This window comes from Homo sapiens, chromosome 14, assembly GCF_000001405.40.
Source record: "Homo sapiens chromosome 14, GRCh38.p14 Primary Assembly".
In the NCBI taxonomy this organism is placed as follows: Eukaryota; Metazoa; Chordata; class Mammalia; order Primates; family Hominidae; genus Homo; species Homo sapiens.
In genome coordinates, this window is record NC_000014.9 from 22,957,157 (window position 1) to 22,970,344 (window position 13,188).

At 46.6% G+C, this 13,188-nt stretch overlaps 4 annotated features.

Moving 5' to 3' along the window:
- Positions 138-717: an enhancer, noted in NCBI's record as "H3K27ac-H3K4me1 hESC enhancer chr14:23426503-23427082 (GRCh37/hg19 assembly coordinates)". NCBI's record gives its function as "activates a minimal SCP1, AML or CMV promoter by ChIP-STARR-seq in naive and primed H9 embryonic stem cells {active_cell/tissue: H9 hESC(naive and primed)}" and the evidence as "EXISTENCE:reporter gene assay evidence [ECO:0000049][PMID:30033119]".
- Positions 718-1,296: an enhancer, noted in NCBI's record as "H3K4me1 hESC enhancer chr14:23427083-23427661 (GRCh37/hg19 assembly coordinates)". NCBI's record gives its function as "activates a minimal SCP1, AML or CMV promoter by ChIP-STARR-seq in primed H9 embryonic stem cells {active_cell/tissue: H9 hESC(primed)}" and the evidence as "EXISTENCE:reporter gene assay evidence [ECO:0000049][PMID:30033119]".
- Positions 718-1,456: a biological region, named in NCBI's record as "H3K4me1 hESC enhancer GRCh37_chr14:23427083-23427661".
- Positions 1,096-1,456: a silencer, noted in NCBI's record as "fragment chr14:23427461-23427821 (GRCh37/hg19 assembly coordinates)". NCBI's record gives its function as "represses an EF-1alpha promoter that drives an FKBP-Casp9 reporter gene in an ReSE screen in K562 erythroleukemia cells {active_cell/tissue: K562}" and the evidence as "EXISTENCE:reporter gene assay evidence [ECO:0000049][PMID:32094911]".

Here is a 13,188-nt window from a genome sequence, read left to right on the forward strand (position 1 = left end):
CACTCGAGGCGGGAACGGCAGGCCCCGCCCCTCGACGGGTGCGCGCTGGGTTCCCAACGCCCTGGGTTCGCATGCTCGGGTGGTGGAACCCGGACTGGGAAACAGGATGGTCTCGGAAAGGCTTTTTTGCCCCTTCTCATTAGTGCCTCCCCAGTGAAGGGCAGATGCTGAGAAAATGGTGGTAATTGCTAACATTTATTGAGGGCCTACGATGAGTCAGGCACTACGCCAAGCATTTTGCTTGCCTTGCCTCGTTTTTTTTTTGAGACGGAGTCTCGCTCTGTCGCCCAGGCTGGGGTGCAGTGGCGCAATATCGGCTCGCTGCAAGCTCCGCCTCCCGGGTTCAAGCAATTCTCTGCCTCAGCCTCACGAGTAGCTGGGATTACAGGTGCCCGCCACCACGCCCGGCTAATTGTTGTATTTTTAGTAGAGACGGGGTTTCACCGTGTTAGCCAGGATGATCTGGATCTCCTGACCTCGTGATCCACCCGCCTCGGCCTCCCAAAGTGCTGGGATTACAGGCGTGAGCTACCGCCCTCGGCCAGGCCTCGTTTAGTTCTTAAAGCGTCCTGTGAGAAAGTCACCATTATACTCATTTTACAGAGGGGGAGAACTGAGGCACAAAGGGTTAAGTTCGAGGTCGCCATTTGGGGGGTCTAAACCTGTCCCAATAGCTCTCGGAAGGAACCTTCCCAGACCTGCCACCCAAGCCGCGTCCTGCGAGTCTCCTCACTAAGGCCTGGCTCTGAGGCGCTGCCGCCCAGCCCAGCCCAGCCCAGCCCAGCCCATGCCGGGCACCATACAGTGCTTCCTCAGGGTCACCTTCCTCTCGAATTCCCACCACAGACTCCCTATTAGCGCGCATTCCTCATTCGCCTGTTTTGTTTGTTTGTTTGTTTGTTTTCTTGGGGGTACGGAGTTTCGCACTTGTTGCCCAGGCTGGAGCGCAGTGGCACGATCTCGGCTCACCGCAACCTCCACCTCCCAGGTTCAAGCGATTCTCCTGCCCTAGCCTCCTGAGTAGCTGGGATTACCCGCACGAGCCACCACGCCTGGCTAATTTTTATATTTTTAGTAGAGACAGAGTTTCACAATATTGGCCAGGATGGTCTCGCACTCCTGACCTCAAGCAATCTGCCCGGCCAAATATCTTTCACCTGTCTTAATCTTTTTTTTTTTTTTTTTCCAGACGGAGTCTTGCTCTGTTGCCAGGCTGGAGTGCAGTGGCGCGATCTCTGCAACCTTCACCTCCCGGGTTCAAGCGATTCTCCTGCCTCAGCCTCCTGAGTAGCTGGGACTACAGGCGGGCGCCACCACGCCCAGGTAATTTTTTTTGTATTTTTAGTAGAGACGGGGTTTCACCACGTTGGCCAGGATGGTCTCAGTCTCCTGACCTCGTGATCCGCCCGCCTCGGCCTCCCAAAGTGCTGGGATTACAGGCATGAGCCACCGCGCCCGGCCCACCTGTCTTAACCTTAAACCCAACCCTCACTCCCACCCACACCTTCGGTGAATTATTTCAAAAATATAAATTTAAAAAAATAAAGAGCTGGGCATGGTGGCTCACGCCTGTAATCCCAGCACTTTGGGAGGCTGAGGCGGGCGGATCACGTGAAGTCAGGAGTTTGAGACCAGGCTGGCCAACCTGGTGAGACCCCCGTCTCTACTAAAAATACAAAAAATTAGCTCCAGAGGCTGAGGCAGGAGAATCGCTTGAACCCAGGAGGCGGAGGTTGCAGTGACCTGAGATCGTGCCACTGCACTCCAGCCTGGGCAACAGAGTGAGACTCGGTCTCGAAAAAAATTAAAAATAAATAAAAATTAAAAATAAAGAAAATGTTTAGGCGGGGTGCAGTGGCTCATGCCTGACCCAGCACTTTGGGAGGCCGAGGCAGGAGGATCACTTGAGCCCAGGAGTTCGAGACCAGCCTGGGCCACATGGCGAGACGATCCCCATCTCTACAAAAAAAAAATACAAAAAGAAAATATGCAATACTAAGTAAACTGTGCCAAGTATATCACATCTTTTACATTAGATAAGGTGATAGCCTGGAGTGATAGGAAAGGAATCTCCGTTAGGTGTGCTGAGAGATGGGGAGTTTCGCCTTTTCCTTCAGTACCAGCTACAGAATTCTATTAATATGCATAGAGGAATGGTGTGGTCCAGTGAAGAAATTTTATATTCTTGGTCAGCTCATCAGCTGCCACCTTTCATGCTTAATATTGAACTGCTGTCATTTTCTGAAGCTTTTAAAAATCATTTATGCTTCCTCAGCTCTGAAGCACAGCAAAGTTAAATATCAGGCATAATGTCCATAGCAAACGGCACTTGGAACAAAATAGCAAGTATGCTTTGGTGACTCAGAGCTGATCGGAAATCTACTGAAATTTTGTCTCTCAGATTTGTCAAGTTCTCTAATATGGTACTACGAAGCTTTGGCTAAAGTACTTTGGGGAATGAGGGGGTGAAGGATGGAGCAAGCTGTCTTCAGGTAGGAGGACAGAGGGGATAGTGATGCAAAGAAGCCTTGAATTGGATCAGACCTTCATGTGCAATTATCTGTTCCATCTCTGTCTCTACAAGTTGTGTGACCTTGGGCTTCAGGGTCCTTATCTGTCAAAAGGAGGAAATAACTTATTTCTAGCTCCTCCAATCTCATAGTGTCGATGTAATGATCAAATGAGATAATGGCTGAGAAAGTGCATTGGAAAGACTAAAAGTGAGGTGTTTTAAATTGACACTTATTATGCACCTATTAAGTGCCTTGGGAGAGACACAAAGCTAAATATGGCCCAGTCCTTGCCCCAAAGATGTTCATAATCTAAAAGATAAGACGTATGCACATGAAAAGCAAATAATACAAGGCAGCAAACTGGTGTCAAAAGAGCAGTTTAGATTATAAATACTAGAGAAACATGAAGAAGGTACAGAATTCTTTCTGCAGAAATAGATAGGATAGAATAGATGAAATAAATCTTACTTTCATTGGGCCTGAAAGGATAGAGAAAATTTGGATCATTTAGAATGAAGGAAACATCCCAGCAAATGGAAGCAGAGACAAGGGGAGTATAAACTGCATTCTAGGTCCAAGAGGAGACAGGACCAACCGAAGTGAAGGATTTTATAGGCCAGCTCTACGTAAGACTGGAAAGTTAAGCCTATAGTCCATCCTGGCAGTTAAAAATGCAGCAAAGGCCGGGTGCGGTGGCTCAAGCCTGTAATCCCAGCACTTTGGGAGGCCGAGGCAGGCAGATCACGAGGTCAGGAAATCAAGACCATCTTGGCTAACACGGTGAAACCCCGTCTCTACTAAAAATACAAAAAATCAGCTGGGCGTGGTGGCGGGTGCCTGTAATCCCAGCTACTCAGGAGGCTAAGCCAGGAGAATGGCGTCAACCCAGGAGGCGGAGCTTGCAGTGAGCGGAGATTGCACCACTGCACTCCAGCCTGGGCGACAGAGAGAGACTCCATCTCAAAAAAAAAAAAAAAAAAAAAAAGAGTGCAGTGAAGTGCTGGGAAAAAAAGTTTATAATCAGACACCATCCGGTGTCCTTGAACAAGAAAGAATTGTAAGAAAGGACCTAGAATTCATTCATATTCTCTCTCTCTCTCTCCCTCTGTCCTTCTCTTTCCCTCTTTTTTGCCAGAATTTTAAAAAACAGCTTCATTGAGGTATTTTGGCACACAGTATTTAAAGTGTACAATTCAATACATTTTGATATAACTATATATGTGTGAAACCATCACCAAGATCAAGATAGTGAACATATGTATCACACTCTAAAAGTTTACCTGTGCCCGTACGTAATTCTTTTCTCTAGCTTCTCCCTGCCCTACTCAACCATCAACTCTGTTTTCTGTCACTATAGAATAGTTTGGACTTTCTAGAATCTTATGTAAATTGAATCAAATAAAGATGTACTCTCTATGTTGGGGTCTCACTATGTTGCCCAGGCTGGTCTCGAACTCTTGGGCTCCAGTGATCCTCCCACCTTGGTCTCCCAAAGTGCTGGGATTACAGGCATGAGCTACCACGCCCGACCAATTCATTTTTAAGTTAATGTCATTTTATTGCTGATAAATATGAAATCCTATTTAAAACCTTAATTTGGGCCGGGTGCGGTGGCTCACGCCTGTAATCCCAGCACTTTGGGAGGCCGAGGTGGGCGGATCACGAGGTCAGCAGTTCGAGACCAGCCTGACCAACATGGTGAAACTCTGTCTCTACTAAAAATACAAAAATTAGCCGGGAGTGGTGGCAGGTGCCCTGTAATCCCAGCTACTCAGGAGACTGAGGCAAGAGAATCGCTTGGACCTGGGAGGCAGAGGTTGCAGTGAGCCGAGATCGTGCCATTGCACTCCAGCCTGGGCAACAGAGCAAGACTCTGTCTCAAAAAAACAAAAACAAAAAACAAAAACAAAACCTTAATTTGTTTGGGTTTATATTTAAGGAGGTGCTTCTAACAGCCCCAGGGTACCTATCTCCATACTTAATTGTTGGTTCCGAGTTCCAGTGAGGCACTTATTTGTTGAAAAACGAATTTTCGGCCACAACCACACTACAAATACCTTACATCGCTTTGTTTATTCCATGGAATGCTTGGCTTTTATAGGCCTGTCCTTTCATTAGTGTTGTTCATCTCACCTTCTGTTATGCCATATGCAAAATACAATCATTCACTTCTTAAATGCTCTTTAATGATAAAGCCAAGAACATACTCAAGTATTCCTGAGCTAGACTCCTGTAAGGGTGGGAGGTCAGGGTGTAGGAAGATAAATTAGACATAACTCCTGCCCTCAATCCAACTCTACCGTTTCAGACATTGCTGTTGACCTGGTCTTCTAAAAACTATTCATGTATGTTTTTAATTTAGTGATAAATGTAAATGAGAGTCTGAGAAAAAGTCTACATAACCTTTCAGACTTGGACATTCTTTTGCTGCATTGTTTAGAATTGCAGAGAATGGAGATTTGTAAGAACATTGCAGGCACTTTGCCTCCCACACTAAGGCCGGGAAACAAAAATTCCAGAGAGAAATTCCAGGTGAGTATTTAGTACTGTGAGTACTAGTACTGAGTATTTTAGTACTAGTATTTAGTATTTAGTACTGTGAGTACTGTGAGTATTTATGATACCAATAGAAATCTTTGAGTAGAATATGTTCTCACTAAAAATATGGGCTTCAATAACCAGTTGCAAAGCTAAGACATTAAAATAGCATTGGAACTTGGAATCACTGTTGTTGTTTTTTTTTGGAGACAGGGTGTCTCTCTGTCTCGCAGAGGTATGATCACAGCTCACTGCAGCCTTGACCTCCCAGGCTCGGGTGATCCTCCCACCTCAGCCTCCTAAGTAGCTGGAATTCCAGGCACATGCCACCAAGACCAGTTACTTTTTTGTCTTTAGTAGAGACAGTATCTTGCTATGTTTTCCAGGCTGGTCTTGAACTCCTGGGCTCAAGTGATCTACTTGCCTTGGCCTCCTAAAGTGTTGGGATTACGCGTATGAGCCACCGTGACTGGCTGGAATCATATTTAACTGATCAATAATTTAGAAAAACTTGAAAAATAAGCCATATCACTTTGAAAGTATTTGAATACATTCTGATATTATATGGACTGAGAAACTAGTTTCAGAAATAAAAAATTTTACATGCAGTCAAGAGATTTTAGATTTATTTTCAAGATTGTTCACTGGAAAATGAAGGTATTCAGAGCTACAACTATTGATGATTAAGCTAGAAAATTTCATGCCTACTGTAAGCACATAATTTAAGAAGAAAACAAGTGGATAAAAAAATATGTAATCAACCTATGACATCAAATGAAAATTTTAGAACAAATGTTCATAATGTGCCATTTTTTCAATTGCTTAACACCTCCAAGGGGATTTCAAAGCTAGGCCCTTGAGGCTTCAAGGGTTGCCTGTCTGTTCACAGAAATTTCTGTTATACAAACTAGAATGAGCCTGGTTTTACTTTGAGACACTATTGTGAACTAGTATATGAAGTAGGCCTGATAGAAAATTTTAGAGCTCAAAGAAAAGCTAAGAAATTTGGCTCAAAAATGGGACAGATTGAAACCATTTTTAAAGGAATATGAGACTATAAAGGAAACTGATTCAGGAGGGGAAGACCAGTATCATTTTGAAAAGCTAGACATGAAGCACAAGGTGGGCAATTCTTGTTATAATGATTGAGTATGCTGCTATAACTTGAAAGCGTGTGCCAGGGTGATAAAAGTATTTCCCTGGATTTTAATTAATTAATTTAGAGACAGGGTCTCACTGTCACCCAGGCTGAAGTGCAGTGGCACCGGTTTCAGTCACCCAGGCTGCAGTGCATGGGTCACTGCAGCCTCAAACTCCTTAGCTCAAGGGATCCTCCCTTCTCAGCCTCCCAAGTAGCTGGGACTACAGGCATGCACCACCATGCCCCAGTAGTTTTTTAAATTTTTTGTAGAGACAGGGTCTCACTATGTTGCTGGGCTGGTCTCGAACTTCTGGCCTCAAGCCATCTTCTTGAGCCTCAGCCTCCCGAAGTCCTGGCACTACAGACATGAGCCACTGCATCCAGCTTTCCTTGGATTTTTGTTTGTTTGTTTGTTTTTTGAGACAGAGTCTCGCTCTGTCGCCCAGGCTGGAGTGCAGTGGTGCGATTTCGGCTCACTGCAAGCTCCGCCTCCCAGGTTCACACCATTCTCCTGCCTCAGCCTCCTGAGTAGCTGGGACTACAGGCACCCGCCACCACACCCGGCTAATTTTTTGTATTTTTTAGTAGATACGGGGTTTCACCGTGTTAGCCAGGATGGTATCAATCTCCTGACCTCGTGATCCGCCCTCCTTGGCCTCTCAAAGTGCTGGGATTACAGGTGTGAGCCACCATGCCTGGCCTCCTTGGATTTTAAGCTGGTGGTGACACTGTTTTATACCAAGTTGCACATGAAAGAGATATTCTCCTTTAAAAATTATATCAGAACCAGTGGGAGAAATAGAACAACTAAAGGACATTTGGAGTTTCATGCTTGGGAAGAACACACATTGTGAATTTTGAAACGCCTCCTATGATTAAGGTATTATGGCAAAAAAAGCAAAACCTTGAGAAAGTTAGCAACTTAGTAGACTTTCTATATTCCACTTATCGAAGGGAAATTTTGCTCAGTTAATTTGCAGTATGCAGCCATAGTAGCCAAGTAGATTATTCCAGCAGGGTTTCCCATGACTGAATTGCCTTATAAAAAAACCCAGGCACAGATAATTCTGAAATGGATGCATTTCTTGGGCAGCATTTCAAAACTAATTTATTGCTTTCTTCAAATGATTAATAATGGAAGGTTTGATGGGGAGGGAGCCCATCAGAATCATACAAATCATGGGATACTGACCCAAAAGTCTACAGGAGCCAGGAGGGTAAATAATGTGTGAAGGGTGCAGACTTCAGAGTGGTGGAGACTGACAAAGAAGAGACTACACCAAACAAAGGAGCAGCCATCATTCAGTCCCAGTGGACAACTGGACCTAATGCCGTAGGGTACAGAGTGATGATGGGTCCAGAGTCATGACAGAATGATTGCTGCCATGTGGGAATGGAAGCTCAGGGATGACAGATCTTCTGATTATTAAAAAAACAAACAAACAAACAAAACCTTAGAAATCCAGCTCTTCATATAAAATATCCAGATTTTTATGTGAAATTTCTGTTATAAATGTTGGCAACCAGTTTTTTTTTTTTTTATTTTATTTATTTATTTATTTATTTATTTTGAGACAGAGTTTCGCTCTGTCGCCCAGGCTGGAGTGCAGTGGCGCAATCTCGGCTCACTGCAACCTCAGCTTCCGGGGTTCAAGTAATTCTCCTGCCTCAGCCTCCCAAGTAGCTGGGGTTACAAGCTTATACCACCATGCCCAGCTAATTTTTGTTTTTTAGTAGAGACGGGGTTTCACCATGTTGGCCAGGCTGGTTTCGAACTCCTGACTTCAAGTGATCTACCTGCCTCAGCCTCCCAAAGGGCTGGGATTACAGGCGTGAGCCACCACGGCCAGTCCTTTTTTTTTTTTAAGACCGAGTTTCGCTCTTGTTGCCCAGGCTGGAGTGCAATGGCATGATCTCAGCTCACCACAACCTCCACCTCCCAGGTTCAAGTGATTCTCCTGCCTCAGCCTCCCGAGTAGCTGGGATTACAGGCATGCGCCACCACGCCCGGCTAATTTTGTATTTTTAGTGGAGACACGGTTTCTCCATGTTGGTCAGGCTGGTCTCGAACTCTCAACCTTAGGTGATCCACCTGCCTCGGCCTCCCAAAGTGCTGGGATTACAGGCGTGAGCCACCATGGCTGGCCCACGCCCAGCCTTTTTAAAATTTTTGAATAGAGATGGGGTCTTGCTATGTTGATCAGGCTGGCCTCAAGCAATCCTCCCATCTCCACCTCCCAAAGTGCTGGGATTACAAGCGTGAGGCACCATGCCTGGCCTTTTGTTTCTAATAATTACTTTGCAATTGTTGACATGTTGCTTGTAATCTTTTCAAGTCATTTTATGCATTCATTTGTCTCCCTGGCTAGACTGTGACCTCCTCAAGGACAGGGACTCTCAGTATATTTCCTTTGCTTCTCCTAATGTGTTTTTTTTTTTTTTTTTTTTTTTGAGACGGAGTCTCACTTTGTCACCCAGGCTGGAGTGCAGTGGGACCATGCTGGCTCACGGCAACCTCCGTCTCCTGGGTTCAAGCAATTCTCCTGCCTCAGCCTCCTGAGTAGCTGGGATTACAGGCGCCCACTACCACACCCGGCTAATTTTTTATATTTTTAGTAGAGATGGGATTTCACCATGTTGACCAGGCTGGTCTCAAACTCCTGACCTCAGGTGATCCACCCGCCTTGGCCTCCCAAAGTCCAAAGTGCTGGGATTACAGGCGTGAGCCACCATGCCCTGCCTCCTTTTTTTTTTTTTTTTTTTTAGACAGAGTCTTACTCTGTCACCAAGGCTGGAGTGTGGTGGCGCAATCTCAGCTCACTGCAACCTCTGTCTCCTGGACTCAAGTGATTCTCGTGCCTCAGCCTCCAGAGTAGCTGGGACTACACGAATGAGCCACCACACCCAGCTAATTTTTGTATTTTTATTAGAGACAGGGGTTTCACCATGTTGGCCAGGCCAGTCTCAAACTCCTGACCTCAAATGATCCAGTCACCTCGGCCTCCCAAAGTGCTGAGATTACAGGCGTGAGCTACTGCACCCACCCTGTTTCTCCTAGTGTGCTTTTAAAGGTACTTTGGCTACTGCTAGTCCTAATGAACAAAAAAAAACATCGGTAAGAACCAGACGTTTTCATTATTGCTGCTTGTGTTCCCCGGCTTTCCCACTAAAAGTTTCCCTAATTCTCTATCATAATGAAGTGCTTATCTCATTTACAATACGTAAACCTTTACAGTTTACTTGTGCTGTGGGAATCCCTATGAAAGGGGGTGGAAGAAGGGAGGAAGGCAAACGGCCCTTTATTGGTCTTCAAAAGTTGGAAAGTCATTATCCAGCTGTGTGACCTTGGGAAAGTGACATCATCACTCAGTTTCTATTCTTCATTCAGTAAAATGAGGTGACTGGGTTATCTCGAAAATCACATCCCACTTGGTTTGAACCGTCTAAGCCTGACTGGTATCTTTTATTAACCATCGCTCCCTGCTTGGATGGTAACCTGGTTCCCTTCCCGTGGATTAGCACTATGCTTTCCAAGTAAGGTCAATTGTAGGTGAAATGACACCCACAGTAAACAGAATTTGTCTCTGATGACTCTCCTATCATCACAGTTATTCTGGTCTAATCTATATGTCCCAGTAAAGATTTGCTCATGTTTTCAAGGTAAAACTTCAGTCCTTCACAACCAGTGCCAAGTGTGGATATTCCAGAGGCCCCTATAGAAGCAAGAAACCCATTCTTAGGTATTCCTCACTGTAAGGTAGGAGAGGGCAGAGAGAACTGAGATTGGTTAGACTCTTTTCATGGAACTTTACCATAAGGGCTCTGAATGACCCCAGACCAACTCTGGGGGCATGGGAACTTCTACATCACAAAACTAAATAACGCCTTAGCTTACCTGTTTCTTCTAATCTTATTTCAGTCCTTTGGTTCTTTTCTGTTTTTTTTTGTTTGTTTGTTTTTTGACACAGGGGTCTCACTCTGTTGCCCAGGCTGGAGTGCAGAGGCACCATCATGGCTCAGTACAGCCTCAACCTCCCAGGCTCAAGTGACCCTCCCACCTCAGCCTCCAGAGCAGCTGGAACTACAGACATACGACACCACTCCTGGCTAACTTTTTTATTTTTGTAGAGTCAGGGTCCCACTATGTGGCCCAGGCTGGTGTTGAACTCCTGGACTCAAGCGATCCTCCCACCTCAGCCTTCCAAAGTGCTGGGATTACAGGCATGAGCCACTGTGCCTGGCCATCCTTTTCCTTTTTTTTGAGATGGAGTCTCACTCTGTCACCCAGGCTGGAATGCAGTGGTGTGATCTCGGATCACTGCAAGCTCCGCCTCCTGGGTTCACGCCATTCTCCTGCCTCAGCCTCCAGAGTAGCTGGGACTACAGGCACCCGCCACCACACCCAACTAATTTTTTGTATTTTTAGTAGAGATGGGGTTTTCACCGTGTTAGCCAGGATGGTCTCGATCTCCTGACCTCGTGATCTGCCCGCCTCAGCCTCCCAAAGTGCTGGGATTACAGGCCTGAGCCACCGCACGTGGTCCCCCTTTTTTTTGAGACAGAGTCTTGCTCTGTCGCCCAGGCTGGAGTGCAGTGGCCTGATCTTGGCTCACTGCAAGCTCTACCTCCCGGGTTCAAGCGATTCACCTGCCTCAGCCTCCCGAGTAACTGGGACTACAGGTGCCCGCCACCACGCCCAGCTAATTGTTGTATTTTTAGTAGAGATGGCATTTCACCATGTTGGCCAGGCTGGTCTCGAACTCCTGACCTCAGGTGATCTGCTGGCCTCGGCCTCCCAAAGTGCTGGGATTACAGGCGTGAGCCACTGCACCCGGCCCCTTTTCCTCTTTTTATTCCCTTCTTTATAGGTACAGTCTGAAGGTTCTCATCCAGCTGGCTTTATGTGCTTGGAAGTAGGTCTTTCTCTACATCCTCCTTGACTGAGGACAGTCTCCAGCCTGATTATAAATGGCATCTTACCATTTCCCTGGTCCTGAGAGAGCTCCAAGTGGTGGAGGGGAAGATACTCTCTAAGGAGTAAGGCAGAGAGAAAACCATCACCAGATTTATTTATTTTTTTTATTTTTTTTATTTTTTGAGATGGAGTCTTGCTCTGTTGCCCAGGCTGGAGTGCAGTGGCACGATCTTGGCTCACTGCAAGCTCCGCCTCCCGGGTTCATGCCATTCTCCAGCCTCTGCCTCCCGAGTAGCTGGGACCACAGGCACTCACCACCACGCCCGGCTAATTTTTTTGTATTTTTTAGTAGAGACAGGGTTTCACCGTGTTAGCCAGGATGGTCTTGATCTTCTGACCTCATGATCCACCCACCTCGGTCTCCCAAAGTGCTGGGATTACAGGTGTGAGCCACTGCGCCCGGCTTTTTTTTTTTTTTTTCTTTGAGACGGAGTCTCGCTCTGTCGCCCAGGCTGGAGTGCAGTGGCATGATCTCGGCTCACCGCAAGCTTCACCTCCCAGGTTCACGCCATTCTCCTGCCTCAGCCTCCCGAGTAGCTGGGATTACAGGCTCCCACTACCACGCCTGACTAATTTTTTGTGTTTTTAGTAGAGATAGCGTTTCACCATGTTGGCCAGGCTGGTCTCAAACTCCTGACCTCAGGTGTTCTACCTGCCTCAGCCTCCCAAAGTGCTGGGATTACAGATGTGAGCCACCGCGCCCGGCCACCAGCTTTATTTTTGATAACCCATTCAGGCCTGTGGTGAACAGGGCTGGCCAGAGCAAAGACTGAAGTCTGCAGTCAAAGCCTAACCCTTGTCCTGTGACTGTCATCTATAAAGACAGACTTGGTCCATAATTCCTCCATTTTCCCCCTTTCTGCATCTCAGCACTAGTAGTTGTTGATTAAATCAGGTGGCAAGTTGGCCAAACAAGCTCCACCTTTTGATGTATATTTGGCAGCACCTCACGAATCTTTCATCATCAACTGTAAATACTAAAAAACTGTAAATACTAAACAGAAATATTGAGGAGGATTAGTCTCCCAGCAAATAGGAAGAAGGGAAGCTCTTGTGATGCAGGGTACACCTGGGAGCCTGCCAGTGATGGTGCTGGGGTGGCTAGGACTGCTCTTTTTTCATGGCCTGCCCTTATCAGCTGTTATCATTTATTTTTCCTCAGGAAGAAGTAGCCTCAGTGGCAAGAACAGAGTCTTGGGGAGCCCCAAGGCTAGGACAATCAGCACAGACCTAGAAAGGAATGAGTCGGATCAGGAACAGAAGAGGCCAAAATCAGAGTAAGAAACAAAGGGTCAGGAGCTGGGCACAGAAGCTCATGCTTGTAATCCCAGTGACTTAGGAGGCCAAAGTGGGAGATCACTTGAGGCCAGAAATTCAAGACCAGCCTGGGCAACATAGTGAGATGCTGTCTCTAAAAAAAAATTTTTTAAACTTAGCCAGTCATGGTTGTGCACACCTGTAGTCCCAGCTACTTGGGAGGCTGAGGCGGGAGAATCGCTTGAACCCGGGAGGCAGAGATTGCAGTGAGCCATAATTGTGCCACTGCACTCCAGCCTGGGTGACAGAGTGAGACTCCCAACTCTTTTTTTTTTTTTTTTTTTTTGAGATGGAGGCTTGCTCTGTTGCCGAGGCTGGAGTGCACTGGCATGATCTCAGCTCACTGCAACCTCTGCCTCTCGGGTTCACGCCATTCTCCTGCCTCAGCCTCCCGAGTAGCTGGGACTACAGGAGCCCACCACCACGCCTGGCTAATTTTTTGTACTTTTAGTAGAGACGGGGTTTCACCGTGTTAGCCAGGATGGTCTCAATCTCCTGACCTCGTGATCTGCCTGCCACGGCCTCCCAAAGTACTGGGATTACAGGTGTGAGCCACCGCACCTGGCCTTTTTTTTTCTTTTTGAGATGGAGTCTTGCTCTGTTGCCCAGGCTGGAGTGCAGTGGCGCGATGGCTAACTGCAATCTCCGCCTCCCGGGTTCAAGCGATTCTCCTGCCTCAGCCTCCCAAGTAGCTGGGACTACAG